Source organism: Homo sapiens, chromosome 10 (assembly GCF_000001405.40).
Source record: "Homo sapiens chromosome 10, GRCh38.p14 Primary Assembly".
Lineage (NCBI taxonomy): Eukaryota > Metazoa > Chordata > Mammalia > Primates > Hominidae > Homo > Homo sapiens.
Window position 1 is genome coordinate 91,873,254 of NC_000010.11, and position 16,535 is coordinate 91,889,788.

Sequence of the window (16,535 nt, forward strand, 5' to 3'; positions counted from 1 at the left end):
ATCTCTACTAAAAATACAAAAATTAGCTGGGTGTGATGGTGCGCACCTGTATTCCCAGCTACTCGGGAGGCTGAGAGGCAGAAGAATTGCTTGAACCCAGGAGGTGGAGGTTGCAGTGAGCCGAGATTGCACCACTGCACTCCAGCCTGGGTGACACAGTGAGACTCCACCTCAAAAAAAAAAAAAAAAAAGAATCTCTGAGAAAATACACAGGAAACTGATAATCTGGTTGCTTCTATGAAGGAAACGGCATGGCAGGGGATGGGATGGAAGGGAGGCTTGCTTTTCACTCTATTGCCTTTTGAATTCTGTACTGTGTGCATTTCACTTTTTAAAATTACACTTTGGTTTCCCCCTTCATTCCCTTTGACCAGCAATTTCACTTCTGGGAATTGATCCTACATATTTGCTCACACAGAAATATTACATGATCATATAGTTGTTCGCTGAAACATTTTTTAATTTTTCTTTCTTTTTTTTTTTTTTGGTAATGTTTGAAACATTGTCAATGTTAATCAATAGGATACTGGTAAAATAGAAGGTGACACATTCACAAGATGGAATTCCTTGCATTTGTAAAGTTGTAAAGAAGGCTGAGGATGTGTTCTATGTACTAGTGTGAAAAGATCCGCAAGATACATTGAGTGAAAGGGAGATGGCCCAGCATGGTGGCTCATGCCTGTAATCCCAGCACTTTGGGAGGCCAATGTGGGAGGATTGTTTGAAGTCAGGAGTCAAGACCAGCCTAGCCAACATAGGGAGACCCTGTCTCAAAAAAAAAAATTGTTTTAATTAGCTGGATATGGTGGCAGGCACCTATAGTCCCATCTGCTCAGGAGGCTGAGGTGGGAGGATCACTTGTACTCAGGAGTTTGAGGCTGCAGCAAGCTATGATCACACCACTGCACTTTAGCCTGGGCAAGAGAGTGAGACTCTGTCTCAAAAAAAAAAGAAAGAAAAGAAAATAGAAGATGCAGATGGTGGATATAATATGAATTTTAAAGGTGAGGTTAAAATATATACATATAATTATATGTGCTCATATATGTATTAAAATTTCTGGCAGGATATACTAGAAACAAACGACAGTATTTATTAAATGTTGGAAAATTGGGTGTAAATGGGGAATAGGGATAGAAGAGAGACTTTACTGAATACCTGTTTATACTTTAATATTTTTGAACTATGAAAGCAATACGTATTCAAAAATTAAATAATTTATATTTTAAAACCAACAAATACATTAAAATTACACTTTGGCTTCCCCTCCCACCAAGCACTGCCATTAGGATTTTGCTTCAGGACCAGAAAAACAAAACAAAACAAACACTCTTCTAAAGAAACCAGCCCTTGGGCCTCCCTTTGTCCTTTCAAATAGTGACTTGCAGAAATTCCAATTCAGCAACATTTCTCCCCTCTGGCTTCAGAACTGTTGCATGCTAACTTTTTATTCCCCTCTCCCCTACCTACTCCTTTTTCCCAGTTCTCGTTAATCTTCCCTGGGCCTCCTCTTTAAACACTACCGTAGCCACCAGAACTCTCTGATTTATAGCACAATGTTGTGCTTAGAATTATAGAAAAACAAAAGCACAGCTCTGAACATGGGTGTCCCAATGGCACCTCAGCCTTAACCAACTTCTGCCTCTATTGCAAGCTCTTAATTGGCCTCACCTCTCACTTTCCTCATACAATTGACATTCCAGCATCCTTCAGGGGATAAAGAATTGCCTTTCACATGGACTCTGTCTTCTCACACTCAAGGCCAGCTGAGTCTGCCCCCAACCCTTGCTAAAATCCCCTGGTTGCTCATCACGTGTTTATCTTGTCTCCTCCAGTTACTCTCAAGCTTGGCTCAAACCAGTTCTCAGGGCCTCTAGTCCCCCCTGAAACCTAGTAGTGGATCTAAACAGGCTGCCATTCACTGCTTTAATCAATGAACTCCAAGGGCATTATTGGATTCATTTAATACAAATGTCCCTGGCATTAGGCTGAATGCTGGGAAGACAGTCATGAACAAGACTGACAACATGGTTCCTGTCTGCATGGGCCAGCAGCCTTAGAGAGAAGGCAACAAGGAGTCAAATACTGCGGCTCTCAACTCTGGCCGCATATTAGAAATTCTTGGGAATACTCTAAGTCCATGCTGGACTGATTGAATCAAAATCTCTGGGAGTGAGGCCCAAGCAACAGTATTTTTTAAATTCTAATGGCTGGCTGTCATTAGAATCTTTAAGAGAATGGATTTACAGGCAACCTCCTATTTAATGATACAATCTAAATGATTCCTGGGCAATAGTCCTTAATTGAATCATAAAAATTGAATTTATTTCCTATGAGTATAAGGCTAGGAACTAGGGTACTGAAAACCCATTTCATACCACAAACAACAAAGACAAAAATTTAACCTTGAAAGTAAAAGATGACAAACCCAAATACATACTTTAAGAAATATCCAGTGGCAGGAATACATTCCTGCCAATATTAGAACATGGCATAGTCCATGAGACAGGATGAACTACCTTGATGGTAAGATTCCTAGAGAATAAGAAGGTATTTTCCAACCTATTTCACACACTGGGTTTTGGATTTCTTGGCTTCACTCCATCCCTTAGAGGTTCTATGAAATTTCAACTACATATAGAACCTTCTACCACCCCAGTCATCCCTTGCCCCTATACTGGGGTGTTACTTCATTTAACAGGACCCAAGAGTATGTGGTGTGATGATGTGACTCAGTCAATGGGCCTCCCAGTACAGAGTGTCACTCCTTCCACACTCTCTCTGGTTGTCACTGAAGATTTGAAAAGGCAGCTGCAAGAGATTTTTCTCTAAGCCTTATTTGTGAGTGGGGCAGTGTTAATGCTATTAACATTATCTCCATTTGGGCCAAATCAAACCGAATGAGAAAAACAGATAGGAAACAGCGTCAGGACAATGAAATTCATAAAACTTGCAAATATTTAGCCCCCCATTTCCTCATCTGTAAAATGGGCATCATTATAGATTTATGTATATAAAACATAGGTTTGCTATGAAAATTAATGGTGATCCTTGGATAAATTGATCTACAATACTACACGATAGACAATATTTAATATTATTTATTTATTTTAATATCTAAAAAGGAGGGCTGGGAAATGCTGCTTTATGATTTTATGATTTGTAGATTTACAAGTTGCCCCTACAGAGGAATTCAATTTACACTCCCACCAGTAGTATATAAGAGTACAATTTTTTAGCACCTCCAACAGAGTATCATTCTTTAAAAAAAAAAATTGTTGGCCAGGAGTGGCGGCTCATGCCTGTAATCCCAGCACTTTGGGAGGCCGAGGCCAGTGGATCACCTGAGGTCGGGAGTTCGAGACCAGCCTGGACAACGTGGTAAAACCCCGTCTCTACTAAAAATACAAATATTAGCCGGGCGTGGTGGCGGGCACCTGTAATCCCAGCTACTCGGAAGGCTGAGGCAGGAGAATCGCTTGAACTTGTGAGGCAGAGGTTGCAGTGAGCCAACATCATGCCATTGCACTCCAGCCTTGGCGACAAGAGAGAAACTCCGCCTCAAAAAAAAAATTGTTAATTTGACAGATAAAATTGATACTAAGTTGTTTTAACCTTCATTAATTTCATTAATTCTAAGGTCGAATATCTTTATTGTCATAATTTTGGTCTATTTTGTATTTATGGTTTTTTTGTTTGTTTGTTTGTTTTTTAGATGGAGTCTCTCTCTGTTGCCCAGGCTGGAGTGCAGTGGCGCGATCTTGGCTCACTGCAACCTCCGCCTCCCGGGTTCAAGCGATTCTTCTGCCTCAGCCTCCCTAGTAGCTGGGACTACAGGTGCACGCCACCCCGCCTGGCTAATTTTTTATATTTTTAGTAGAGACAGGGTTTCACTATATTGGCCAGGCTGGTCTCGAACTCCTGACCTTGTGATCCACTGACTCAGCCTCCCAAAGTACTGGGACTACAAGCGTGAGCCACTGCACTTGGCCGTATTTATGTATTTTTTACATATCAAATTAAAATTTTTTATTTAATCATATCTCTTAATTTTCATGTTCTTCTATATGTCCTCATCTTGAGATCATATAAATATTCATCTTCATCATACCCTAGCTCTATTTTTCTTTAAATATTTGACTCCTAGATCTATTTGGAATTTATTTTAGAATATGAGTGAAGTAAAGATTTGACTTAATTTTAATTTTTCCCTAAATCTTTTGTATTAGAACCACTTATTATATTATTTATTCTTCTCCCATTGATTTGAAATACCATTTTTTATTGTTCCAATAATTGTCACTGTTTCTTCTTGTAATAATAACACATATTTTAATTATTATTATAACTTAATAATATATAAAGGATCCTCCTGCTTCAGCCTCCTGAGTAGCTGGGACTGCAGACAGAGCATCACCTGTAATGCAAATTCAGGGAAGGAGTCTTAACACTGCATCTTGTTTACGTGGTACACACTTTTTATGCCTGTTGTCCCCTAAAGTGAAACCCATTACTTTGGCTAATGCAACCTAAATTGAGATATTTTATTCTATATGATGGAACACTATGCACCCATTAAAAATAACCTTCCCTAGGCCAGGCATGGTAGCTCACACCTGTAATCCCAGGACTTTGGGAGGCCAAGGCAGAAGGAAAGCTTGAGGCCAGGAGTTCTAGACAAGCCTGGGCAACATAACCAGACCCTGTCTCTAGCAACAAACAAAAAATTAGTCAGGCATGCTGATGATGCTCTGTCTATAGTCCCAGCTACTCAGGAGGCTGAAGCAGGAGGACACTTTAAGGCCAGGAGTTTGAGGCTATAGTGAGCTATGATCGCACTACCATACTCCAGCCTGCGAGACAGAGCCAGACCCTGACCCTTTAAAAAAAAAAAAAAAAACGCTAGGCATGGTGGCTCACATCTGTAATCCCAGAACTTTGGGAGGCTGAGGTGGGAGGGTGGCTTGAGCCCAGGAGGAGTTCAAGACCAGCCTGGGTAACATGGCAAGACCTTATCTCTATTATAAAAAGAAATATAGGCCAGGCGCAGTGGCTCACATCTGTAATTCCAGGTGTGATTTAAGTCAAATCCTTACTTCACTCATATTCTAAAATAAATTCCAAATAGATTTTGGGAGGCCAAGGAGGGTGGATCACTTGAGTCAAAGAGTTAGAGACCAGCCTGGGCAACATGGCAAGACCCCATCTCTACCAAAAAATATAAAAATTAGCCAGGCATGGTGGTGTGTGCCTCAGGTCCCAGCACTCAGAAGGCTGAGGTGAGAGAATTTCTTGAGCCTGGGGGGCAGAGGTTGCAGTAAACCATGATAATGCCACTGCACTCCAGCCTGAGTGACAGAGGGAGACATTGTCTCAAGAAGAAAAAAAGAAATATATATATATAATATACATTATATAATATATAGTAAATATATAATATACAGTAATATAATATATATTAATTGTATAACCTTTTCCAAATAAGTTTTTTGTTTTTTTTTGAGTCTCGCTCTGTCACCCAGGCTGGAGTGCAGTGGCTGGATCTCAGCTCACTGCAACTTCTGCCTCCCAGGTTCAAGTGATTCTCTTGCCTCAGCCTCCCAAGTAGCTGGTATTACAGACATGCGTCACCATGCCCAGCTAATTTTTGTATTTTTAGTAGAGACAAGGTTTCACCATGTTGGCCAGGCTGGTCTCAAACTCCCGACTTCAGATGATCCACCTGCCTTGGCCTCCCAAAGTGCTGGGATTACCGCGCCCAGCAGAAGAAATTTATTAAAATGTATTGGATATAATATTAAAAGATTTAGGATAAACAATATGATCCCACTTTGTTAAAGCAAAAATAACAAATCACCTGTCTACATGCATAGAAAACAGATTATCAATAAATTAATACACCAAAATGTTAATGGCAAGCTATCTCTAAGTAATGGGATGATGGGTGATTTTTACTTTGCTGTATTTTTCATCATTTTCCAAATTTTCTACAATAAATATGTGTTACCATTATAATCAGAACAATCAGTAATCATTATGACTTAAATGGATATTTTAAGGTCCACTCCAGTCCTGGTTAGGGTGGTTGGATTGTCAATCTCACCCCAAAGACGAGACGGCTCTTTCTCTCCATGAGAGCAAGGATGGGCATCCAGCCCTGAAAAGGGATGCATTCACCACTTCAGTTCAGTTCTTTTGATTGGGAGACACTGCCATTAGATATTAAATGCCAAATAACATCATCTGGAATCACATGGTGACCCTTTGTGTTGCCAGCTGGGAGAGGGGTGTGTGGCATCACCTCCCACTTACCCTCTCCAAACCCCACCCAGAAGGGCTGGGAAGACACAGAGATAGTGTGGTACTTCAGGGTGGTATGCTAATGCAGGCCTCTAATCCTATCAGGAACGCTTAGGGTGTTAATTTGACCATCTTTCACAGCTCATAAATCTACTGAAGCAAAGCCAAGCTGCCAGACACCATCAAGCAAAACTCCTTCTGAGGCTGGCAGTTGGAGTAAAGCAGCCGGGATCATGCCACAGTAAAGTCCAATAAAGAGCTTTGTATGTGGGGGACTGGAGAGCAGCTTCTCACATTTGGATACAATAGAACAAAACAGTGGGAAATGTGAATGTCTGATTAGTCAGACTGGTGGTCTCCCCCATGCCCCCCCTGCCCACTGAGCCATAGATCCTCATTCATTCACAATTCTTTACACGCAGATGGATCTATCTTGCTCCCAAACAATCGCCGGCACAGACTCCCATCGGATTAGTTTGCTTAATCCCTGTGTGTAAATACAGACCAACTGTATTCACTTCCATTGGAATCTGCTAGCCTTTTTATATTAAAACCTATTTAACTTCAGTCAAATCACTCCTGCCTAGATCCATTCTCTCTTTATTCGGTGGTCAGAATGGAAACATTCTTCTCTTTCAGGAACAGAGCATTCCCCCAGAAGAGTTCCCACTGTTGACAAATAGGTGGGGTTTAAAACTGTCAACAGAAATCAGTGGCAACCTCCGGATTACAGCTTCATCCAGAGTCCATCTGTTCCTCAAATCAATCTGTTTAAAAATCGGCTGATTAGGGATTCTAAGTAAAAACATCCTTTGGAGCATCCATTTCAAGAGACATTGAGGCAGGCAGTTAGATTTTCATCAGCTTCCTCTTTGGTCCACACCTCTTGGAGGGCAAGTTGCAGCAGTTTTCTGCCTCTAGGGACAGAAATCTCCTCTGACCGAATCTGCAGGCTGGCAGGGGTGGGGAGGGAGTGGTGATTCCACATGGTCCAAGACTGGAAGTACCAGAAAAACTGAAGAAAGACCCACCCATTCTGCAGTTCTGTACAGGCAACCAATGACATTCCCACAGAGTGTGAGCAAAGACTCCTATTTCCTCAGGGCGGACTTACTGCATGCCAGGAGCCCAGCACATTTAGGAGTTTCCAAACACAGTGGAAAAAGGAATCAGAAAAGATCCTCCACTTACTGGCCTTGGGCCTTGGGCAAGTTTCTTTAACCCTTGAGCTCTAGTGTCCTCATCTGGAAAATGGATTTAATAATATTTTCTATGTGGGATTATCTGGCTCATAGTACAGGGATGTGATACATGCCAATTACGATTTTTGATAGTGTAGTTTGAAAAATAACTGTTATTGATACTATTATTAGTGGTGGTAAATTTCAAAAATAACTATGATTATTGATATTATTGTTGTTGCTGATAGTGCATTTGATAAATAACTATGTTGTGGTTATCATTATTGCTGGTAGTGCACTGTTAGCTATTGCTGTCTCCATATAATGATGAACAGACTTTAAAAGAACTGAGTAAAGACCATATAAGCCCATTCACTCACCTGGCGGGTGTTTTATTGAACACCTTCTATTTGCCAGGCATTATTCTAGACACTGGGGCTACATCAGTGGAATCCATCCTTGTGAAGTTTACCTTTTAGTTGGGGGAAGACTGACAATAAAAACAAGTAAGTAAATTATATTGAATTTAGAATGTGATTAGTGATATAGGGGAAAATAGAGCAGGGTGGGGAGGATTGGGAGTGAGCTGTGAGAGAAGGGGCTGGTGCAGCGGAATTTAACATGAGGTGGTTTGGAAGGCCTCACTGAGAAGGTGGCATCTGAACAACTGTAAAGGAAGTGGAGGAGTAGGCCGTGGGGAGTGTTGGGGGAAAAGCATTCTACGCACAGAACAGCAACTGCAGAAGCCCTCAGGGGATCCTGCCTGTGTGCTTGGAGAAGGCTGGAGTGGGATAGAGTGGGAAATCGTGTCACAGATGCAAAGGTGGGTCACCCAGGATCAAGCTAGGCATTTTTAGCACTTTAGCTTTTTACTCTAAGTGAAATGGGGAGCCACTGCAGGGTTGTGAGCAAAAGCAGTGGCATGGTTTGACTTAAGCTTCAACAGGATCACTCTGGATCCTCTTTCCCGCTTGCAGACAGCTGCCTTCTCACTATGCCCTAACATGTTGTGAGGGGGGTCCACCCCTCATGATTGAAAGAAAGAAAAATTAATTCCTCGTCTATGTCAAGGGGCACAGTGAGAAGCAGTTGTCTGCAAGCCAGGAAAAAGTCCTCACCAGACCTCGGTCATGCTGGCACCCTGATCTTAAACTTGTTGTCTTGTTTTCAAGGTCACTAATCCCATCATGAGGGCCCCACCCTTATGACTTTATCTAAATCTAATTACCTCCTAAAGGCCCCATCTCCAAATACCATCACATTGATGGGTAGAGCGCCTGTAGTCCCAGCTACTCCGGAGGCTGAGGCAGAAGAATCACTTGAACCTGGGAGGCAGAGGTTGCAGTGAGCTGAGATTGTGCCACTGCACTCCAGCCTAGGCAACAAAGTGAGACTCTGTCTCAAAAAAAAAACAAACAAAAAAAAGAATCCTTACACATGTATTTTTCCATAGTGGCTTTAGAATCAGTTTGTAAAATTTCACACTTCATCCCTCAAATAGGTTGACATGTTATTAGGTCATGAAAATTTTGTATATTAATTTAGGAAGAAATTAAGTTATATTATTGAATCTTTCTGTACAAGAATAGTATATAAGCAGACTGGGGAACACAGTGAGACCTGGTCTCTACAAAAAATTTTTAAACAAAAATTAACCAAGTGTAGTGGCATGCACCTATAGTCCCAGCTACTGAGGAGGCTGAGGTGAGAGGATTGCTTGAGCCCAGGAGGTGGAGGTTGCAATGAGCCGAGATCTCACCACTGTACTCCAGCCTGGGCAACAGAGTGAGATCCTGTCTCAAAATAATAATAATAATAATAATAGTGTCTCTAAGTAACAATTCTTCTCATTGTTACATTTATTCTTAGGTATATATTTTTTGTTATTATATAAATGGAATATTTTCTTCCATTACATCTTATAACTGCTTTTTATGTATAAATAGGAAAGCTATTAATTTTTATTTATTAATTTTATGTGCACCCATCTTACTGAATTTTTTTATTGTTTGAGATGGTTTTTCAGTTGATTTTCTTGGGTTCAGATAATATCTGAATTGGAAGTAAAAATAATTTTACTTTATCCTTTAAATTTTTTAAACTTTTTTTTTCTCTTGACTAATAACATCAGCTACTATTTGCAGAACAATGTTAAATAGTGATGGTGGGCAGTCTTATCTGGTTCTTGACTTTAAAGAAATGTTTCTAGTGTTCTTCCCTTAAGCATGAGGCTGGCTTTTGGCTTATATATAAAGTTGACTTATATATTTTAGTTACCAAAAGTGATTCTTACCAGAATCGGCTGGGGAATCTTCAGGTTAAAAATAGTCTTCTGCAGCCAGGGCAACTAGTGAAACTCCATCTGTACCACAAAATATATATATATATATATTTTTTTAATAAGCCGGGGGCAGTGGCCTGCTCCTTTAGTCCCAGCTACTCGGGAGGCTAAGGCCGGAGTGTTGCTTTAGGCCAGGAGTTCAAGACTGCAGTGAGCTATGATCCTGCCACTGCATTCCTGCCCAAGTGGCAGAGTGAGACCCTATCTCTAAAAAAAAAAAGGTTCCTGAGTGTTGCCCAGAGGGTCAGTTTCAGAAGGTCAGAGTGGGGCCCAGAAATCTATATTTTTCCTGAACTTCCTTGGTGGTTCAGATACAAGTAACATTCAGCCCAGACTTGAAGAATTCCAGTGGATAGAAAGCACTTTAGAGTCAGCTCTGGGCTCAAGAGGGCAGCTCTTTCCCCCCATGTCATTTACTCCCTCTGAGCCTCAGTTTCCCATGCTGCTAAAAGAGGGAGAATAATCACATATGCCCTGGCGACTGGAAGAGGGGCTAAGAGGCTCAGATGAGGTAATGTCTGTGAAAACATTTGGCAGACTAGAAACGGCATATAAATGTGAGGAGGCGTGACCTCACTGTGCCCAAGAGGAAAGATATTTGGAAAAGCCTGACTGATTTTCAGGGCTCGGCGACAGCTCCTAGCGAGACTTGGACAGCCTGCTTCAAAACCCACACTTACATTCCACGAAACACGCTCTGCTTCCTTGTCAACAGGCTTTGCGTCATGTTAGGTCAGCTTCCACTGCTCAGGGCTTTGTGCTGATCATGCATTACGGGTTGGCTTCAGAGGCACAGACACCTTACCGCCTGTGTGTGATCCAGGACTAATGAAAAAAGTCCTCTCCGGCCACACCCCGTTCCCTGCCTGGTCCCCGTGGAGTCTCCGGCATTTGAGAGAGCTTTTGTGGCTTGAATCTAAGTCACAAAACTCCCCCTGCTAATCCCATGGGGTCACAGTTGGACCTAGTGCTTCAGGGGAGGACCAATAAGACAGAATCCATTTTGCATTTCCCTTCCTGCTTTCCTACGGAGAGATGTAAAGGTCCCTAGAGGTGAATATAATAAGATAGAGCCAACGTGGGGATGTTGCTCCCTGGGGCGCTGCTTGAGTGGTGTGACATCATGTTCTTAGTCTGAGCTTCAATAGATCTCTTAGAATGTCAGAGACCCGTCTTCTCCTAGAAAAGGAGTTCCTACCCTGTGGTCTGTGAGCTAATGAAAATGCAGGCTGCCTCAGCCTGGATTAAAAGAGGTTTTCTTTCCCGTTTCCCATTTAAAGACCCTGTAGGCTTGAAATTACCATTTAAAGCAGGAGATAAATTGCCAGAGGCCATTTCATGCCAAGGTACATTACAGAGCAGAATGTCAAAGTGTGCTTAGCCAGGAGACAGTGATGGGCAAATCCTGCTCTCTGAGAGCAGCAGGCATAAAATGTGGCCCCCGGGTAGAGGGAGGGCCCTTGCTTCCAGCCCCCATACCTTGTCTCCCTTCACCAGCAGGAATATTCTTTCTTTTGTGGCCTCTTGTTTAGGCTGTTCTTGACCTTTCATAATTAAAATACTCTGAATTTTGGCAGGCCTTGCGCTTTTTTTTAATAAAGAGGGGGAAGCCATTTGAAGATAGAAACAAAATTGCTTGGATGGTTGCCTGTGAAGTTACAATTATAGCAATGACTGAAGATGGAGAACAGGAATTGAGAGAAGAGGGATTTTTTTCCCCTAGCTGCCAAAATGCTGGATTTTATGTCCTTCTGTGAGAGCCTGCCATTATACATTTTAGACCCTAACTCATCAACAGTGAGTGCTAAAAGACATTCTTGAGGAAGGACTGGTTTTTGGATACATCTAAATTTTTATTAGCTTTTGTTCCAGTATCAGTAAACATTCCTGAGTGCTTACTAGAGGCAGGGCAGTGAGAAGCAGAAGGACGAATCAAAGAACAATTATATCCTAGCACCTGCACCATGCCTGCTGGCCAAGTGTTTTCCTTGAGAAAACCTAAAAACCTTAGCTTCCCTCCCTTTGCCTTAGTAATTCCCCAAACTTTGCTGTTCATTGGAATCACCTGGAATGTTTTTTGGAAAATTCTGATCCCAGACTCTCACGCTAGACATTATGATTTGATTGTGGGGAGTTTTTTAAAGCTCCCCAGGTGATTCCAACGTCCAGCAGTGTTGGAGACCCACTGGCCTAACTTCCGCTCTTTCTTCAGGTTTCAGTTTAGCATTTCTTCCTTCAGGAAACCTGCCGGAATTCTCCTTCTTCCCCCGTCTTCACACAGCTGTGACCCCGAACCCGTGGAGTATCGCTCCTTGAGGGGCTCCTGCAGCACCTGGTACTTGGCCTTGGTGATATGGACCACTTGATTCAACACTCTTCCTCTGGTTGAATGGGACATCCCTGAAGGCAGGACCAATGGCCCGCTCATTCTCCAGAGCCTGGCTCATCATGAGCCCTTGAAGTACTAATTGAAGGAGTAAATTCACATTCTCCTTGGACATTTCCTTTCACTCTTTCTGTGCATGCTAATTTACTTTCTCTAGTAATAATAAATGTCATTTTGTTTTGCATGCTGCTATGGTTTGAATGTTTGTCCCCTCTGAAATTCATGTTAAAACTTAATCCCCAATATAACCATATTAAGAGGTGGATTAGGGTCAGAAGCGCTCTGCCCTCATGAATGGATTAATCCATTGATGGATGAATAGCTTAGTGGGTTATCACAGGAGTGGGTTAGTTATCATGAGAGTAAGTCTGTTATGAAAGCCAGTTTGGGTCTCAGTGCACCCCCACCCCCCTTGCCCTATGATGCCTTATGCCATGTGATGTTGCCGCATGGGACCCGCACTGGAAGCCAACCAGACGCAGTTGCCAGATCTTGGTCTTTTCAGCCTCCAGAACTGTAGGAAATAAATCTCTGTTCTTTATAAATTACCCAGTCTTGGGTTTTCTGTTATAGCAACATAAAATGGACTGACGCCCACTTAATCACACTGTCTCTAATTTTTATGGTCATTGAGTCATGTAATAAAAGTGAAGCATTTACACTCTTTTAATTTAATGTATTTATTCTTTTGAAACAGAGTCTTGCTCTGTTGCCCAGGCTGGAGTGCAGTGGGGCAATCTCAGCTTACTGCAACCTCCACCTCCTAGGCACAAACGATTCTCATTCCTCATCCTCCTCAGTAGCTAGAATTACAGGTGAGCGCCACCACACTGAGCTAATTTTTGTATTTTTAGTAGAGACAGGGTTTTCCCATATTGGCCAGGCTGGTCTAGACCTCCTGACCTCAAACCATCTATCCACCTGGCCTCCCAAAGTGCTGGGATTACAGGCGTCAGCCACTGCCCCTGGCCTCTTTTATGCTTTACTATATTTATTTTATTTATTTATTTATTTATTTATTTATTTATTTTGAGATGGAGTTTCGCTCTGGTTACCAGGCTAGAGTGCAATGGCACCATCTCTACTCAGTGCAATCTCTGCCTCCCAGGTTCAAGCGATTCTCCTGCGTCAGCCTCCTGAGTAGCCGGGGTTACAGGGGCATGCCACCACACCCAGCTAATTTTTGTATTTTTAGTAGAGATGGGGTTTCATCACACTGGTCAGGCTGGTCTCGCCCACCTAATCCGCCCGCCTCAGTGATCCGCCCGCCTCGGCCTCCCAAAGTGCTGGGATGACAGGTGAGCCACCGCACCTGGCCTCTTTTTTATTTTTTATATATTTTATAAGATTTTTTAAAAACAGTGCCAGCTGAAGCTGTCAAATAAAAAATCCCACAATGTGGTTAATCTCAAGAGAAGGTTAAATGATTAGACTTCGTTCTGGAGCATTATTTGTGAAAACATGTATTTTCATTTAGGTCTCCATAGACCTAAAACCTGATTTTCTCCCTATTATTAAAAAGGTTTATATTTTGTAAAATATGCTTCATAAATTAGACAAAGGCAAATCAATGAAAGTGTCTCCTTTTTGTTTGGTTAATGCGGATTTAATGAAAGGGCACACACACATTTCTGAAGTTGTAGCTCACTTTATTGCCAAAATTAAGACAAAGAAACAAATCTGCAAACAGAGGGGCCCCTGTAACATCATCGCAGGGGTCAGATTACAAGGCTGGGAGACAGGGGCCTTCAGAGCCACGGTAATTGTCCCCACGTTCCGGGCCCCTGCGATGCCCACAGACTTCTTAATGTCTCTCTTTGTAACACCCCAGGGCCGCGTGAATAGCGGGGAAGGTAACGTGACTGCGGAGCTCAGGGCCGGCCCGGGAGGGGCGCGGGCCTGGCCAGTGGGAAGGTCGGACGCCGAGGGGCGAAATCACCCCACCGGCATCAGACCACCGCCTCCATTCAGCGGAGGAATGTGGGCGGGCAGAGGACGCGCGGTCCCCTCGCCCGGCGTTAACCCTGTGCGCGCCGGGAGCTTCGCCCGGAGCATCGCAGCATCGCGCAGCGCCCGGAGCCCGGGGCCCTCACAGCTCCACCGGTGCCCGGAGCATCTATCTCCCCGCGGGCGGTGCTGCCACTCGCCACGTTCACATTCCTCCACGTGCACGCGTGACTCTTTTGGTGTTATTTTTAAAAATCTCACTATTTAATCGCCATGTTTACCTTCCCCAGAACCACATAGTCTCATCGCAATTCAAATAATTTAGAAAACATTTTAAGATAATCGTGGAGCCCACGAAGCCAGTGCAACGTAGGTGGCTTCCCTTGCTGGAAGTCACCGCACCGAGGCCAGAAGAAGGTAGCCAGCGCCCAGGCAAGCGCTTAAAACTGCAGCCTCCTCCACACCTTTGCACGTGGGGAAACCGAAGCAGAACCCTGTCTCTTTCACTTTTCTTCCCTTCGCTAAGACTTTTTTATATTTGTAAGTGGAGGCGCGATCCAGTTAGCTTTTCTCCAAACTTTTAATGTAGAAAATATGCAAATCTACAAAAAAGTTGAACGTGTAGTGCAGTAATACAATTAACACCTGTAGATTCTTCACCTAAATTCACTTCTTAGCATTTTGCCCTACTCGCTCTATCCTTTGTCTGTATAGAGAGATTCCTCTCTCCTGCATTATTTGAAAGGAAATTGCAGACCTCATGACAATTTGCCCCAAAATAATTCACATGCAGCAACTAGGAATAAGTACATTTTCTTATGTACCAACAACACCATTTATCACACCTAAGAAAATCAACGCTAATTTAATATCTCCTAAAATATAGTCCTCATTTAAATTTTCTTATTTTTCCCAAAATGCCTTTTAACTAAAATTTTTTTTAAATCCAGAATATGTTAAAGATTCATGCATTGCATTTCGTTATGTTATTTGCTTTTTATGATAATTTTGTTTTAAATTTTAATTATTTTCAGCCTGTATAGCATATTTCTGGAATTTAAATTTGGGGGCTGTAGTTATTCTAGAACTGTGTCTAGTTAGCACATTTAAAAACCAGGCTTTTGAGGGAAATTATTTGTTGCTGAGCTTCTGGTACACACAAAAAAAGGGAGGTTTCCTAAGCAGACCACATTTGCTTCCCTGGTCGGGGGTCTGATGCAATAAAACCCCCTTTCCCAGGATTTCTCTTCCAGAGTCAAATGTCCCATAAATAAAGACATTTAGTCTTTTCATTTTTTCTTACCTCCCGTTTAGATCTTGATGATTTTCTGCTGCTTTACAACAGCCCTGCCCAAACCCAAATTAAAACACTCTCTTTTCTTCTTCTTTTTTTTTTTTTTTTTTTTTTTGAGATGGAGTCTCGCTCTGTCGCCCAGGCTGGAGTGCAGTGGCGCAATCTCAGCTCACTGCAACCTCCGCCTCCCAGGTTCAAGCAATTCTCCTGCCTCAGCCTCCCGAGTAGCTGGGCCTACAGGTGCACCCGCCACCAAGCCCGGCTAATTTTTGTATTTTTAGTAGAGATGGGGTTTCACCGTGTTAGCCAGGATGGTCTCGATCTCCTGACCTCATGATCCGCCAGCCTCGGCCTCCCAAAGTGCTGGGATTACAGGCATGAGCCACCGCACCCAGCCTAACCATTCTCTTTTCTCTTGTTAGATGACAATTAAAAACATTTTTAGGTTGGGTGTGGTAGCTCACGCTGTAATCTCAGCACTTTGGGAGGCCGAGGTGGGTGGATCACTTGAGGTCAGGAGTTTGAAACCAGCCTGGCAACATGGTGAAACTCCATCTCTACTAAAAATACAAAAATTAGCCGGGCGTGGTGGTGGGTGCCTGTAATCCCATCTACTTGGGAGGCTGAGGCAGGGGACACTTGAACCCAGGAGGCGAATGTTGTGGTGAGCTGAGATTGCACCACAGCACTCCAGCCTGGGCAACAGAGCGGGACTCCCTCTCAAAAATAAAAATAAAAAAAATTTAAATCTTCACAAGCCCTGTTGCTCTTCTTATCCCATATGTGGACCTCGGAATTCTTTCCCTCTAACCCCATTGCCTTTTTCTCCACGCCTATCTATAACAAATGTCTATCAAGTGCTAGCTATACAGCAAACACTATATTAAGTGCTTTATACATATGTCATCCTCAGAACAGTCTTATAAAGTTAGCATCATTAGTATTACTTCCATTTTAAAGATGAGAAAATTGAGACTTAGGATAAGTAATTTGTCTCCTAAGTGTGACATGGCAAGACATCACTGGGTCTTGAACGTTGGTTATCTGACTCCATAGTCTACATTCTCAGTGGTCCCCAACCTTATT

General features: G+C 42.6%; 2 annotated features.

Moving 5' to 3' along the window:
• Positions 7,859-8,360: an enhancer, noted in NCBI's record as "H3K27ac hESC enhancer chr10:93640869-93641370 (GRCh37/hg19 assembly coordinates)". NCBI's record gives its function as "activates a minimal SCP1, AML or CMV promoter by ChIP-STARR-seq in naive H9 embryonic stem cells {active_cell/tissue: H9 hESC(naive)}" and the evidence as "EXISTENCE:reporter gene assay evidence [ECO:0000049][PMID:30033119]".
• Positions 8,361-8,860: an enhancer, noted in NCBI's record as "H3K27ac hESC enhancer chr10:93641371-93641870 (GRCh37/hg19 assembly coordinates)". NCBI's record gives its function as "activates a minimal SCP1, AML or CMV promoter by ChIP-STARR-seq in naive H9 embryonic stem cells {active_cell/tissue: H9 hESC(naive)}" and the evidence as "EXISTENCE:reporter gene assay evidence [ECO:0000049][PMID:30033119]".